Below are 17207 nucleotides of genomic sequence, written 5' to 3' on the forward strand. Positions count from 1 at the left end.
GCAAAGGAAGGGAACACAAAGAGACTGGTACTTTAATATCCAGAGTACCAAAGAGCACCCTAGGGGGTGAATTAGGGAAGATGGGGATAAACTATCCTTCCTGCTGGAATAGCTAGTCCCCAACATAAAACTCTGTGAGCACCTGAGCTGAGCCCACAGTATCATCTCCTGGAATGACACTCACACTGAAACATCCACAGGAACTCAATTCTCCATAGAAACGTCCACCATTCCTCAACATCCACAAGAGCTCTTAGACTGAAAACCTGGCTTCATGTGTCGTTAAGGACCATCATTTCCAGACATATGTGTGTTAGTGCCTCAAACTCTCCCCAGGACCGGACAGACTCAGGGTAAGATGAAAACAGACAGAGCCTTCTCCAAGAGAGCTGCTTCTGCTTCTCCCACTTGCTAGGTTCGCAGAGCTGGGACCGTCCTCTAGTCCCCTCCATCAGCCACCTAACTCAGAGTTCATCCAGCAGGAGCAAGAGAGGGAGGGGAGAGGGGCTGAAATAAGTAGTCATCTGTAGGAATCTTCCTCTTCTAGATACCAAAGCTCTCCTGGGCAGAAGACTGACTTCATCCATCTGGGCATCCTACTTTATCTGCCCCTCTTCCCCCTCCCCGCCCCACACAGGGCCTGGTAGAAAGTTAGTCTGTGAATCACCTCACTATTGTCTTCTGTACTCTCTGGCCATGAATTTCTAGCTGCTTTCAAGCTTCTCTCTGTGGAAACAGGATGACTATAAACATCTACAATAGCTCAGTAAAGGTCAGGATAGCATGAAAAGAATTAACCATTGTAGTGAAGGAAAAAATAAGTTCTTACTTTAGGAATCTGAAGGTTTTTCCTAGCAAATATCTGAGAGAGAGAGAGAAAGAGGGAGAATATGAATGAATATGTGTGTGTGTGTGTATATATGTATGTATATATATATGTGTGTATATATATGTATGTATATATGTGTGTGTATATATATGTATGTATATATGTGTGTGTATATATATGTATGTATATATATGTGTGTATACATATATACACACACACAAGAATTTGGGTTTATTTTCTCCAATTAATATTAATATGTCTGTTTTTTTGGTGCAATGTTCATTCAAATCTAAATAATTCCAGTCCTACAATTTGAAAAGTTAAAATCATATTTTAGTTGATGGTTTTCAATGATTTTAATAACACCTTTGGATAACTACAGCATACATATGCTTAAAACAATAGCAATCTAGAGTTCTCATTGCTGTATTTACATAATTATAAAGAATTAACATAAACCAAAAATAACTTGTTTCAAAATTTCAAAGTAGTTAGCTTTCTAAAATTCTTTTAATTACATTTGGGTAGTATTACAAACCTAAATGCAAATGGCACTCAGCTTCCCTGCTATTATTTGTCTAGAGAATTATCCAGACATTCTGATGCATGGCCGGGTATACAGGCCACACAACTGCAGGCTAAAAACAGGAAGAAAGCAAAGCTTAGGAGGAATCAACATCATGAGAGGTTTCAAGCAAGTGTATTTTAGGAGAAGGAAGTGCAGATAAGTGCAGTTATTCTACGTAAGGTACAGGATATCTTTAAAGAGATTTTTGTAAATTATAGATATATTACTAAAAGTACCTATTTGATAACTGTCCTCACACTTTGATCATATGCTCATTTTCTAGCCCAAATAGGTCAAGTGAGTGTGCCACACACCACATCTCCATCATCTCGGCCCACCACTGAAGCCTGCTCACCACTACCTTCAGCTTCCCTCTGTGTTCCCCAGCTCCCAAGCCAACTGCCCACATAATAATCACATTGCCCAATTTATGCCAAAGACAACCATTGTGTGAGAAATTTCACACCCAATTTATAAGCACCAACAAACATCCCATGGTCCCCTTTGTCCTGCATGCCAAAAAGTCAGCCTTGCTGGGCACAAACACCACCATGCAGGGAACTTCTGAGCACAAATAGTGCAGGGCCAGGGTCTTGGGCCCCATCACAGGGCTTCCATCCAGCTCACAAATATGGAGGCCAGGATTATCTTCCAGTTGACTATGGACTTCTTGATGGCAGTGGGAGGAAACAATGGAAAGATACAAGAGAACATGGTGGGGAAGAGGTGGGAGAAAAGGGGACAAGAAAGGAACAAAGGGAGAATGAGAGAGAACAGATTCTCTTTCTTAAGCTCTGAGTTCATAAGTAAAGCATTAATTTACTTCAAGAAATAACAGCCAAGATAGTTTACAGGAGGAGCAGGCTAGTTGCCACCTGACTTGGATAACTATCTCCCTCTTTTGTTTATTCATTGAGGATGAGGATCTACTACATTTCAGGCACTTTACTAGTTCCTGGGAATACAGTATGAATAAAACATTCATGCTAACTGCCCAAAGAGACTTTCCAGTACAAAGGGGTATGACATTTGTAAAGACAAATCTGTGATAAAGGCAAAGAAGAAAAAGAACAGTGTTCTGTAACAAAGTGAGGGGAAAGGCAGAGGGTGGTGAGAGACATTTTGGACATGGTGGTTCAGAGAAGGCCAAATCACACTATGCTGTAGGCCTTTTACCAAAGGCATAACCTCATCTACATGGGAGAGGATTACTCAGGCATCTCTGTCATGGACATGGAATTTAAGAGTAGGAGGCAGAGAAAGGTAGAAGGAAGGTTCCAATTTGCCTTGAACAATGAAGCAAAAGAATGCCTTTGACTAAGCAGCAGGGCAAGGCTAACTGTTTTGGCAGGAAAAGGGGCCCTACAAAAAGTGTACTCTTTCTCTTTGGAAAGGGTTTACCCTGTGGGTCTACCCTCATGGCCACCAGCATATGCACACAGGTTATCACAGCCTGGCCTAACTGCAGATAACTGAATATAGTAAGCCAAGCTCAAACACCATTTTCATTTCTGTATAAAGAAATCCAAGTACACTAAAGACTCCAAAAATTGTTTTAAGATAGAAAAGAGGGCCTTCCAATTGTGTGTGTGTGTTTTTCCTTCAAATTTTGTATTTTAAAGACCCATGAGCTGGGTACGGTGGCTCACGCCTGTAATCTCAGCACTTTGGGAGGTCAAGGCGGGCGGATCACTTGAGGTCAGGAGTTTGAGACCTGCCTGGCCAACACAGTAAAACCCTGTCACTGCTGGAAAAAAAGAAAAAAAAGAATTAGGGCATGGTGGGGGGCGCCTGTAATCCCAGCTACTACAGGCATGGTCCACCACACCAGCTCACATACCCTTTGTGTATGCCAAGGATGTTTGTAAATGCCCGTCCTGTGCCTGGCACTGGGCAGGCTGCTCGTAATTCAGAGGTGAACACAGCAGCTCCCATCTTTATTCTCACAAAGCTGATCATAAGCCAGCATAAGGAGCCTTAGGAAAGCGAATTCCTAGAGGCCACAGAAGTCCAGGCAAGGCATTTCTGAGGAAGCCTCTGCACCCAGACCTGAAAACCAGGCAGGCATGAGGAAAGTGAAGTGCATTCTAAGTGAGAATAATGTGTGCAAGCTCCCTGGGGCAAGAAACGGGCAAGGTAGGAATGGCAAAGACACAAAGGCAGTAATGAACGAGACTGGGTGACTATAATTATAGTAATAATGACAACCACAAGCTTCTTCCTGGTAATAGGTTAGAGAATAGTAGGACATTGAAATCATCATTTATCCCTCAAAAAGGAACTGAAAAGGTACAATGCAGGCCTTAAGTGGGCATATTCTGACTTACATTTTTATTATTTCATGGCAAAGGGGAAAGTTTTAAGCAACACTAAGGGATGTGAATAAAGTTTGCAAACTGATGACTGAAAACTGAGACTTCCAGAAGTCAACAACTAAAATTTCAACACCTTAGATAATCTCTGAGTGTCATATTACATAAGAGTCACCATATATCCTTTCATTGATTAAATGTTCATTTCTCCCTTTGATCACAGTACTTATTTTACCTTCCAACTTGCCCTGAAAGTTATAAATGTCAGAACCCAAATCCCACAGATATCAGATCTACACCCTGTGCTCTTTTGGAAATGTCATTTTAATTATCACTGTAGCAATCCTGACCCAATTCTTTTTGACAATCACTACATAGGCACAAAAGTAAGTCAGTTGGAAAAACTTAGAGCCAAATTTGGAAAAGGTTTCCTACCAGAATGTTCTCTCATACTTTAAAGTAATTACACTAAGAGCTATTTGCCATTTGTGCAAATAATCCTTCAAATCTTCCATCTCTGCTTTAATGATCTCTTTCTCCAGAACCCTCTTTAGCTAGAGAGGCAAATACCATACCGCTACATACGAAGACAAAGAGAAAGAAGATGACAATTTAACATAAATAGCCATGTTCCAATAATACTTAATCCTCTAATAGCAATCTCAAGTCTACTCCAAGATACAAACCTACCTGAATCAAACTCACGTACAAACAAAATTCTATGTCCAAGTGTCCAAAACTATAATCACCTATAATCATCTTACCCTCAAAACCTGCTCTCCCCTCCAGGTTCCTGACTTCAGTTGGTCCTACCACCATTTGTCCAGGCCAAAATATGGAATTGCTCTTAACTCTTCCCCTCCTATCTCCCACCAGGTCTTTCCCCACCCACTGCCCTAAATAAGCACTGGGTGTGGTCAGTGCTGCTTAGAACCACCTCTCACTTCCATTCCCTCTCAGTCCCACTGAGGCCAACCTAATTCGGGTCTTCCTCATCTCTCAGGTAGATCTGTATTACCAAATAGTATCCTTACTGGTGTCCATGTCTTTAATCTTTGTATGTTTTGTTTTTTTTAATGACCTGTTTTAAATACATGAAACAGTGAAAAAGATTTTCTTAAAGCACATAACCCAACACGCAGATCAACTGTTACCTTTAACTATTGTCCCCAGCGTATTCAGCATTCCTTAGTTTTTCCCTAATGTCCTTTATCTGCTCCAGGATCCCATTCAGGACACCACATTACATTTAGTTATCCTGCCTCCCTAGGCTCTTCTAGGTTGTGACAGTTTCTCAGACTTTGTTTTCAATGACCTTGACATGGTTAGGGAGTTTACAGAATATCTTTCATTTTGGGTTTGCCTGAGGCTTCTGCCATGTTTCCACAGAGCTTATGGGGCTTTGGGAGGAAGACCACAGAGGTAAAATGCCATTCTCATCACATCCTATCAAGAACACCCACCACACTGACCGACTAGGAAGTTATGCTCCCCTCCTTTAGAATGGGATATTTGCATAAATGATTTGGAATAATTCTGCACAAGAGGTTCGTCTCTTCATCTCCATTTACACACTTTTCAATCATTTTGTTTACATCGTATGGATCATTAACATTTATTTTATACTTTGGGTTAAAACTCAACAATACTTCACTGTGTTGCTTAAAGCATTCTAGCTTTGGCTATTGGAAGCACTTTCAGTTGACTCCTGTGTCTCTCAGCAATACCCCCACTGTTGTTTTGTTTTGCTTTTTCTTTGATTTTTTCAACCACTTCCTTACTTTCTGGCCCTGCGAGATACACTGGCTCACCTTGCTCCAGCCCTAAACTCAGCCATTTCCCCAAGGAGCCCTGGTAGTGTTAGTGACCAAGATCTGGGTACTGGATGGTTTCTTTTTACAAGATCTTAGGATACATTTAATTCTGCATCTTGTTTTCTTAGAATACCTTTCCATATCTACACAAAAAGATCAACTATATTATTTTAAACCTCAGTTCAACCTTCATACCTCCTGTTATGAGATCACCTAGAGCTGCCACAGTGGATGTGTCCCTGTATCAATAGGATGAGATTGATGTGCCAGGCCCAAGGCCCCCTCACTGGCTCCTCAGCAAAGGGACTATCATCCCCAATTTGCACATGAGAAAATGAAGGTGGACAGCCATGCTGCCAGTCCCAGGTCACAAACTGCCCATGCAGAGGTGGCACTCATACCCAGTCTGAGGGATTCCAGAGCACTTGGCCTGACAAAATGGCTTTCTGGAATAAAGACTTGTCTAAGACAGCAAAAACTAGGGCTCTCCCCTGTCCTGCAACTAACCCAATTATAGAAAACCCAAAACCTTCAGTATCTGTGTTCAAAAGCTGCCCTACCTACTCCTCATGGGGCTGCTGTGAACTTCATAAAACAAAAAACGCAGGAAAGTGCTCTGAAAACACTAAAGTACTCTACACACCTTGGGAGACCTGCTGCTGTTATATTTTGCAGATTTTTAATGGTCATGAATTAATACATGATTCAGACATACCACTTCCATAAGAAACAGTATTTTAATCCTTGTTTCCTATCACGACTGCAGTTACTGAGGGTAAAAGTTACCAAAGCATGTAAGCCTGAATTCCAGGTGATAGTGACTAAGGAGGCAGGCAATTTGAAAAAATATATCAAGTGAAAGAATCGTCTTTATTTTAAACTCAGATTCAGGAGGCTATCTCCATGGCTTTTAACATGAAAAAGCTGACTCTCATATTATTTTGACCTGTTGCTAAATACAAATGAAAATATCACAACTTAAGTCAAATGCTACTTGTAAGTGACACACTTTCAAATCCTCAAAGGAAAGGCTCTGAGAGAGGTTACTTCAGAACATGAATTATTTAACTCTCCTGCCCAGGTATTGATTTCCTGCAGCAGTTTAACCTGAAAATAGAATATGATACTTAGGTATGAAATAAAAATATTATCACTGTATACCTTAAATTCTCAATTAAAGAATACAAATATACTTTAAATTCTCAATTTAAAAATATGAGCAGAAATGTGGCATCTTCCAGTACTTTCAGCCCAACTTAACCAAATTTAAGAAAATAGCTATACAAACCTTTAATAATCCATTACAAAATAAACACTGAGCAGAAGTCCTGGATGTGTGCCCAATTCCCCACAGCAGGAGACAAATAAACACTTGTTACTGTATGCAATTTTACTCTGTGCAATACCTGTTTCAGTAGAAGAGTCTGGAAATACCCTTTGAAGACAACAAATTAAGAGTCTGCCAGCAAAACCACTAGGAAAGCAAGACAGTGATACAGGTTGTTCCCATCACATCAACTGTACCCTATACCTTTAAATGCAAACCCTGTTTACACAGAATCTTTTAAAATCACTTCGATATTGGCCAAACCTGAGAAAAAGCTCTGTGGAAAGACTGAAACCTAATCAAGAAGATTTTTTGTGAGCAATACTTCTTTTGTAGTTTTCCTGTACATTTTTGCATTTTAAAAATGCAAATCTTTTAAAGGGGAAAAAAATAAACAATGACTTAAGACAGAAGCAGCATCCTTGCACTGCTATCATTTATGCTTTTCCTCTATACCTACTGGGAAAACTTAGAAATTTCTAGCCAGTAGATTATTTTCAAGACCACTTAGCGTTATTAACAAATACCTTGCAATTGCAAATAGATTTATGTTCATAACCCTCATACTGTGAACATAAGCAGAGAAAAATTAAAAGCCCATGAAATAAACAGAAGATAAAAACACAGCTAGCCTCAGCCTACTGTGCCTACTTCCTCTCTCCTAGTCTTAGAAGGTTAACATTGATGTTTATTTCCCTGTAGGTTTCACAATTTTTCACTGCTTAAATACCAACAACATTCATAACAATCTTTCCCATGTTTCATCCATGATTTTTAGTTACCACAGGAATTATAAAATATTTAAGCATTTCCTAGCCAAGCAGCAATAATTATAAACACTTTTCAGAATATATTAGAATAGCCTACCTTTCCCAGTAGTCATGATTGTCAGTAATCCTGGTACCAAATAAAAACACTGCTCTGAAAGCTATACCTACTCACAGCAACTTAAGCATCAGCAAACTCTCCACCCACACTTGTTCAGTGTGATCCGGCAGCACCAATGACAACTGCCACCCTATTCCAAAATAAAAGCCTAGACTAACAATGATTTTGTAAAAAGGGTTGGGGGTTGGTGGCTGGGGGGAGGTGTGAGCCTTCTCCATCCAACTCTACTCATTTAAGAGAGTCTTCTTTAAAAGTGGTATTAAAAATTTTTAAACCAGTTCTTCCCCCTCAAGAAAAAGAATATTCCTAACACAAATCTTAAAAAGAAAAATATCAAAAAGCAACCTTATTTCCACACAGAAAATAAAATAAGCTGTCTGCTGCAGCTTATGCGACTTATGCTGCCATCAGAAGCAGTCTCTTCCAGGCTATTTTAGGTGGGCTTCTTAGCACAGCTCAACACATATGCCAGCCTTGTAACAAACACATTATCCTTGTATTCGTGACTATGGAAACACTTTCCTAAGATACTGAACCACTATCCCAAACCTTGTAATATGCATAGTCTAATAAACAAGCACTGGGAGAGAGTGTGAACCTAGAATTGGCACCTGATCCACTTATTCACAATCATTGCTTTTAAAGGATAAGCATGGATAATAATGACTTGGCTTCTTAATAAAGAAAAGACAACTGATTTGCCTTTAAATGAATGCTTTGTCCTAGCCACACTGGGCAATAATTCAGATCTTATCTAACAGAATCTGTCAATGGTCTGTTTTCAGACTTGCACAGGTATTTCTCATTTCCGACAAAGTAGAACTGATACCTGTAATATTTTTCAAGTTATAGTTGTTTAAGTGTAAAACCATAAAGCAAAATGCATTTGGCAACAAAATGATACCCTGTACATTCATGTATAAGAGCCAATAATGTTATGATTACTTGTTATCTACTTTATAGTTTTATTAGCAAATAAATATTGGGTCTTTTACTTCAGCTACAAATTTATTATAGAATTATCATGGATTTAACCAAGATGATAGTTTGTATCTTTCCTCATAAACATGTTAGCTTTGCTCAAGAAACTCAAAAGCATGTGTATTTTTTAACCAAATTAATGTTCATGGGCCTCGCTTCAATCAAATCCAATTAAAGATCATTAAGTGGTTGCAGATAAAGGACACTGAGTAGTCCATAATTACTGGGTCTTTCATTCTGAAAATCCAATTCTCCCATGAGCATAAGCACATCTGCATGATTTAAAAACTTACAAATAATTTGCTTTTTGAAACTCATGGAAGGAAAAACTGTAATTTTTGCTTCAAGGGGCTTGCTAATTATATGGAGATGAAAAAAAGAAGAAACATCTATATAGCAACATATTTTTAACTCTCATATTCTCACCATTCAAAGCCGAAAGGCCTTCGGGTAACCTAGCAACAAGAAGGAATCATACAAAGATGAAGTATTCTATTACAGACAGGAAGCCCATTTCAAATTGCTACTTGGCTGCTTTTTCATTCCTGTTTTAGTCACAATTCGATTACGCTTTTAAAAATTAAGTCCATGGGTTTCATATAAATATTAAGCATCAGAGAACAACATAATTTTGAACATCTGAAGATATACAAACCCTTGATAAATCCTTATTATTTCTTAGGAGTACCACCATTAAATACGTTTCTTCCAACTTAGCTAAAATCCAGAACGTTTCTTACTCAAAAGTGCACTGTTGTTCACAAGCAACAAAAGAAAAAAATAAATTGGACTTCAGCAAAATTTAAAACCTTTATACACCAAAAGACACTTAAAAGTGAAAAGATTGGCTCACGCCTGTAATCCCAGCACTTTGGGAGGCCGAGGCGGGTAGATCACGAGGTCAGGAGATCGAAACCATCCTGGATAATACGGTGAAATCCCATCTCTACTAAAAATACAAAAAATTAGCCGGGCGTGGTGGCGGGCACCTGTAGTCCCAGCTACCCGGGAGGCTGAGGCAGTAGAATGGTGAGAACCCGGGAGGCGGAGCTTGCAGTGAGCCGAGGTCGCACCAGTGTACTCCAGCCTGGGCGACAGAGCGAGACTCCCTCTCCAAAAAAAAAAAAAAAAAAAAAAAAAGTGAAAAGATAAGCCACAGAATGAAAAAAAAATTTACAAATCGTATCTGCAAATCATATACAGTTCAACAACAAAAAGATAAACAATTCGATTTTTAAGTGGACAAAGGATTTGATTAGATGTTTTTCCAACGTAGATCAACAAATGGCCAGTAAGCACAGGAAATATGTTCAAACATATTAGTCATTAGGGAAATGCAAATCAAAACCACAATGAGACACTACTTCATAATTACTAGGGTGACTACAATTAAAAAAAATAAAAAAAAAAAAAAACAAGCATTGCCAGAAAGTGGAGAATTTGGTAAAGGCTAGAGAGAATATAAAATGGTGCAGCCACTGTGGAAAACAGTTTAGTGGTTCCTCAGTAAGTTAAACATAGAATGACCATGTAATACAGCAATTCTACTCCTGGATATACACTCAAAAGAACTGAAAACAGGTGTTTAAAAGCTTGTATACAAATGTTCAAAGCAGCACTATTCACAATAGACAAAGGTAGAAACAATCCAACTGTCCATCAATAGATGCACAGTTGCAGCTATCTGTGACTATACTAAAAATAACTGAATTATACACTTGAAATGAATGCTGTCATGGTATGTAAATTATATTTTAACAAAGCAATTTTAAAAGAGCATTACTGTCCATACTACTCAAAGCAATCTATAGATCCAACATAATCCCTATCAAATGCCAATGACATTCTTTACAGAAATAAAAAAGTAATCCCAAAATTTATACGGAACCACAAAAGACTCAGAATAGCCAAAGTCATCCTAAGCAAAAAGAACAAAACTAGAAGAATCACATTATCTGACTTCAAATTATACTACTACCATTGCTGTTTTTGTGGCAGCATGGTACTGGAAAAAAAACAGACACACAGACCAATGGAACAGAATAGAGATCCCAGAAATAAATCCACACATCTACAGTGAACTCATTTTTGACAACAGTGCCGAAAAGAACACACACTGGGGAAAGGACAGTCTCTTCAATAAATGGTGCTGGAAAAACTGAATATCCATATGCAGAAGAATAAAACTGGACCCCCATATCTCTCACCACAAAAATCAAATCAAAATGAATTAAAGAGTTAAACCTAAGACCTCAAACTATAAAACTACTAAAAGAAAACATGGGGGAAACTCTCCAGGACATTGGTCTGGGCAAAGATTTTTTCAGTAACACCCCACAAGTATGGGCAACCAAAGCAAACAATCAACAAAGTGTAAGACAACCCACAAAATGCAAGAAAATATTTGCAAACTACCCATCTGACAAGGGATTAATAACCAGAATATATGAGGAGCTCAAACAACTCAATAGAAAAAAAAAATCAAATAATTCAATTTAAAAGTAAGCAAAAGATCTGAATAGACATTTTTCGAAAGAAGACACACAAATGGCAAACAGGCATATTAAAAAAGTGCTCAACATCATTGATTATCAGAGAAATGCAAATCAAAACTACAATGAGGTATCATCTCACCCCAGTTGAAATGGCTTTAATCCAAAAGACAGGCAGTAACAAATTCTGGCAAGGATGTGGAGAAAAGGGAACTCTTGTACACTGTTGGTAGAAATGTTAAATTAGTACAGCCACTACAGAAAACAATAGAGAGGTTCCTCAAAACACTAAAACTAGAACTACCATACGATCCAGCAATCCCACTGCTAGGTATGTACCCAAAAGAAAGGAAATCAGTATATTGAAGAGATACCTGCACTGCCATGTTTACTGCAGCACTGTTCACAATAGCCAAGATTTTAAAGCAACCTAAGTGTCCATCAACAGGAGAAGGAATAAAGAAAATGCGATGCCTATACACAATGCAGTACTATTCAGCCATAAAAAGAATGAGATCCTGTCATTTGCAACAACATGGATGGAACTGGAGGAAATTATGTTAAGAGAAGCTAGGCATAGAAAGACAAACTTCATATGTTCTCACTCATTTGTGGGAGCTAAAAATTAAAACAACTGAACTTATGGAGATAGGGAGTAGAATACCAGTTACCAGCAGAGCCTGGGAAGAATAGTGGTGGTGGGGAAGGGAGTGGGGATGGTTAAAGGGTACAAAAATATAGTTAGACAGAATAAGATCTAGTATTTGATAGCACAACAGGATAACTACAGTCAATATTTATTGTACATTTAAAAATAACTGAAAGAGTATAACTGGAATGTTTGCAACACAAGAAATGATAAATGCTTGAGTTGATGGATACCCTACTTACCTTGATGTGACTGTTATGCAAAATACCTATGTCACCCATAAATATATACAACTGATATGTCCATAAAAATTAAAAATATTGGGCCAACCACGTTGGCTCATGCCTGTAATCCCAGCACTTTGGGAGGCCGAGGTGAGCGAATCACCTGAGGTCAGGAGATTGAGACCATCCTGGCTAATATGGTGAAACCTCGTCTCTACTAAAAATACAAAAAATTACCAAGGCATGGTGGTGGGCGCCTGTAGTCTCAGCTACTCGGGAGACTGAGGCAGAAGAATCACTTGAACCTGGGAGGCGGAGGTAACAGCGAGCCAAGATCGCACCACTGCACTCCAGCCTGGGTGACAGAGCAAGACTCCATCTAAAAAATAAATAAATAAATAGGCCGGGCACGGAGGCTCACGTCTGTAATCCCAACACTTTGGGAGGCCGAGGCGGGCGGATCACAAGGTCAGGAGATAGAGACCATCCTGGCTAACACAGTGAAACTCCATCTCTACTAAAAATACAAACAAATTAGCTGGGCGTGGTGGCAGGTGCCTGTACTCTCAGCTACTCAGGAGGCTGAGGCAGCTGAATGGCATGAACCCAGGAGGCAGAGATTGCAGTGAGCCGAGATGGCACCACTGCCCTCCAGCCTGGGCGACAGAGCTGGACTCCGTCTCTAAAACATAAATAAATAAAAATATTTAAAGAGTATTGTCACTTTAAAGAATACAATGGCTGGGCGCGGTGGCTCACGCCTGTAATACCAGCGCTTTGGGAGGCTGAGGCGGGCAGATTGCCTGAAGTCAAGATTTCGAGACCAGCCTGACCAACATGGTGAAACCCCGTCTCTACTAAAAATACAAAAATTCGCTGGGCATGGTGGTGAGCGCCTGTAATCCCAGCTACTTGGGAGGCTGAGGCAGGAGAAGCGCTCGAACCAGGGAGGCGGAGGTTGCGGTGAGCCGAGATCATGCCATTGCACTCCAGCCTGGGCAACAAGAGCAAAACTCCATCTCAAAAAAACGAATAAAAAATTTAAAAAGTAAATAAATAATACATTAAATTTTAAATGCATACTCCAAAATAATCTGAAAATCTACAAGTATGACAGTTATTCTCAAATATTCTTTTTATTGAAAAAATGAATATACCCCTAAAATTGAGCAACTGGAGGAGAATCTATTATTCTGAGCACCAACCATGTCCCAGGCACTAAGAAATTCGCTAAGAATTTTACACACAATCTCATTTATTCTCCACAAAATCCCTGCAAGGTGTTCACTCCATTTTACAGATGAGCAAATGTGGTTCACAAGAGTTAAGTCACTTGCCCAAAATCCCATAGCTAAAGCATTGCAGAGCAGGGCACAGACGCCTTTCCTAAGGAGGAAGGAGAGCCACACATTTCCAAAGCAATCCCCCTTGACTTGCTCCCTGACACTGTCCACACTTCCCCACACAGGGGCATGTGGGCACCCACACTCCAAAATTAACAACTGTAACTACTGTTTGGCATACACAGTCACCATTTATTAAACAGATATTTGTTGCCTAGTCCTTAGCTGAGTATAGGCTGCTAAATTTTCACAAATGGGAGTTAGAAAGACACAGATCATTTAATAGACACCCTTTTGAGTCAGCCTAGGAAGCCGCTCTGTGGACATGCAGTGCTAACCAACCAAGGCAGCCATCAAGTGATCAGAACCTCTGCCCAAGAGGTCATTGAGGAGCCTGGAAATGAGCCCCATGTTGTCATTCATTCTCTCCTGTGTTTTGCTCAGTTCTCTGTCAGCTCCAGCTCATATGCAACACTCCAGAACCCAGTGGGTATATAAGAATCCATGGGAAAAAGCAGAGAGAAAAAGAATCTAGTCATCTCAGATACTAAGTGTTCGTACATGCACTCAAGATTTACTGAGAGACATAGAAGAAAAGCTGGTTCGGTGAAACAAACCAATCGCAGAGAACACTGGGACTAAGAGGCCAGCCTGCAAGGTATCTGAGCCTTAGAATGAGCAAAAACAGGCACACAGTCCCCTGTATGCAGGAGGGTTACAGTCCAATGCCGAGATAGGTATTAGTCAGATAATCGCCAAATGTAAACCTGCAAACATGACGCATACCAAGCAGTGGGGTAGAGGGTGCCTGCCCACACTTAACAGAGGGATCTGACATCATTTGGGATGCCAACAGATGAATGGAATAAGAAAAATGTGTATATATACACAATGGTATATAATTCAGCCATAAAAAAGAATGAAATCCTGTTATTTGTAGCAACATGGATGGAACTAGAGGCCATCATATTATATAAAATAAGCCAAGCACAGAAAGACAAACATCACACATTCTCACTCATATGTGGGAGCTAAAAGGGTAGATCTCACAAAGGTAGAGATTAGACTGGTAGTTACCAAAGGCCAGGAAGGGGAGGGGGAAGAGTAAAGTGAAAAAAATGTATATAAGTGTATTTATTACCACTGAACTGTACACTTAAAATTGGTAAAGATCGTTAATTATATATGTAGATTTTACCTCAATAAAAAAGCAATATTTGAGTTAAACTCCATATGAATCAGTGATAATATTTATGAAAAGTGAGGGAGAGGGAGGTATCAAAAATGACACCCAATCTTTAATTTACATACCAGGATGAATAATGGAGCAATCACGCTTATAAGGAGTACAGAAAACACTTAGGGTGGAGCAATATTTATTGTTTTGTGTTTTGTCTTTCAGCCAGAAGTAGAATATAAATTTGGTTTTAGATACATGTTTCAAATACAAGAGGAAATGTCAGACAGGTAGCTGTTTCACATACAGTTCCAATCCTGTACCAAGATCTGTATAGGAGACAAACATTTATGAAAAAAATGTGATATAGCTAATAAATAAAATTATAGCCACGGATATGTGTAACCAGGGAAAAAGCACTGCCTGAGAAAGGAAAAGGCCTAGAATTAAGCTTTAAGAATTTAATGGCTAATTAGTAGACATTAGATAAAGGAAGCCAAGAAGGTGCAGCCCAAAAAGCAGGAAGAAACTAGGAGGAGGTCAGACCCAGCTTTTCTTTCTTTCTTTCTTTCTTTTTTTAGATGGAGTCTTGCTCTGTCACCCAGGCTGGAGTGCAGTGACACAATGTCTGCTCAAGGCAACCTCCACCTCCCAGGTTCAAGCGATTCTCCTGCCCCAGCCTCCCGAATAGCTAGGACTACAGGCGCCCACCACCACGCCCGGGCCCAGCTAATTTTTTGTATTTTTAGTAGAGATGGGGCTTCACCATGTTAGCCAGGATGGTCTCAATCTCCTGACCTCGTGATCCGCCCGCCTTGGCCTCCCAAAGTGCTGGGATTACAGGCGCACACCGCCACGCCCAGCTAATTTTTTGTATTTTAGCAGAGACGGGGTTTCACCGTGTTGCCCAGGCTGGTCTGGAACTCCTGAGCTCAGGCAATCTGCCTGCCTCGGCCTCCCAAAGTGCTAGGATTACAGGCATGAACCACCATGCCTGGCCTCTTTTCTTTCTTTTTACTGTGGTAAAATAGGTAATAGTTTCTTTTTTTTTTTTTTTTTTCTGAGACGGAGTCTCACGACCAGGCTGGAGCGCAGTGGTACAATCTCAGCTCACTGAAACCTCCGCCTCCCAAGTTCAAGCGATCCTCCCACCTCAGGGCCACCCCACCACCCCCCCAGCTGGGACTACAGGGGTGCCCCACCACACCTGGCTAATTTTTGTATTTTTGTAGAGATGGAGTTTCACCATATTGGCCAGGCTGGCCTCAAACTCCTAACCTCAGATAATCTGCCTGTCTCGGTCTCGCAAAGTGCTGAGATTACAGGTGTGAGCCACTGCACCTGGCCAAATATAGGCAATAGTTTCTTAGGTATGACAAAAGAAAAAATAAACAGATAAATTGGACTTCATCAAAATTTAACAATTTATATCTCAAGTGACACTATCAAGAAAGTGAAAAGAAAACCCATAGAATGGGAGAAAATATTTGCAAATAAATCACATCTGGTAAGAGTCTGGTATGTAGCACATCTAAAGACCTCTTAAAACTCAACAATAAATAGGCAATTAACTCCTTTAGAAAATGGGCAAAAGATTTATTTGAATAGACATTTCTCCAAGCAAGGTATTTAAAGGGCTAATAAGCACATGAAAAAGATGTTCAATACCATTACTCATCAAGGTAAAGCAAATCAATACCACAATGAGATACCACTTTACAGCCACTATGGTGACTATAATGAAAAAGATAGACAATGACAATTGTTGGCGAGGATGTGGAGAAAGTGGAAACTCTTACAGGTTGCTGGTAAGAACATAAAATAGTGCTGCAAAACTGGAAAACTGTGTGTTTACTGTGTTTGAGCAGTTACTCAGAAAGTTAAAGGTACAACCCAGCAATTCTACTGCAAGGTATACAGCCAACAGAAATGAAAATACATATCCACATGAAATCTTTTACATCAATGTTCAAAGAATCATTCTTCACAATGGCCAAAAAGTGGAACAACCCCAAACGTCCATCAACAGACGGATAAAGAAAATGCAATCTAATCACACAATGGAATCTTGTTCAGCCATAAAAAGAAATGAACTTCTGATACATGCTACATTATGGATGAACCTTGAAAACATTATGCTAAGTGAAAGACACCAGACACAAAAGCCAAATATTGTATGATTCCAATTATACAAAATGTCCTGAATAGGCAAATCCATAAAGACAGAAAATAGGACGCCAGAAACTGGGGGGAGAGGGGAATAGGGAGTAAGTGCTAATGGGAATGGGACGTGAGGGTGATGAAGTATTTTAGATTTAAATAGTGGTAATAGTTGCACACTTTGTGAATATTCAAAAAAAAAAAAACACTAAAGCATTCACTTTAAAAAGTGAAACACCAGTAGGTAAATTATATATAATCTCAATTTTTAATTTTTAAATGAACGGCAACTAGAAGGAGAATGTATCTCAATTTTTAAAATATACTGATAACTTCACAAAAGGCCTAACACCTATTTCTGATAAAAACTCAGATAAGGGCATTTGACTTTCTTTCTTTAACCTTCATGTGCCCACCTGGGTCTCTCCCAAGCACACCTTCCT

General features: G+C 39.6%; 1 protein-coding gene across 37 annotated transcripts in view, besides 1 other annotated feature; it reads right to left on the reverse strand.

Moving 5' to 3' along the window:
- Positions 1 to 17207, reverse strand: part of CLASP1 (cytoplasmic linker associated protein 1) — a 311687-nt gene that overhangs the window by 144780 nt on the left and 149700 nt on the right. The window contains exon 1 of one of the 37 annotated variants that reach the window (XM_017003682.3): positions 7718 to 7800. The exons of the other annotated variants lie outside the window; for them this stretch is intronic. Within the exon in view, the coding sequence (XP_016859171.1) occupies positions 7718 to 7733 (16 nt within the window). The 5' untranslated portion in view covers positions 7734 to 7800. Of the gene's footprint in view, positions 1 to 7717; positions 7801 to 17207 lie in introns of those variants that run through there. 37 annotated transcript variants of the gene reach the window in all.
- Positions 6887 to 7096: an enhancer, noted in NCBI's record as "active region_16464". NCBI's record gives its function as "activates an Ori minimal core promoter by ATAC-STARR-seq in GM12878 lymphoblastoid cells {active_cell/tissue: GM12878}" and the evidence as "EXISTENCE:reporter gene assay evidence [ECO:0000049][PMID:35858748]".

The sequence above is a fragment of the Homo sapiens genome, chromosome 2 (assembly GCF_000001405.40).
Source record: "Homo sapiens chromosome 2, GRCh38.p14 Primary Assembly".
Lineage (NCBI taxonomy): Eukaryota > Metazoa > Chordata > Mammalia > Primates > Hominidae > Homo > Homo sapiens.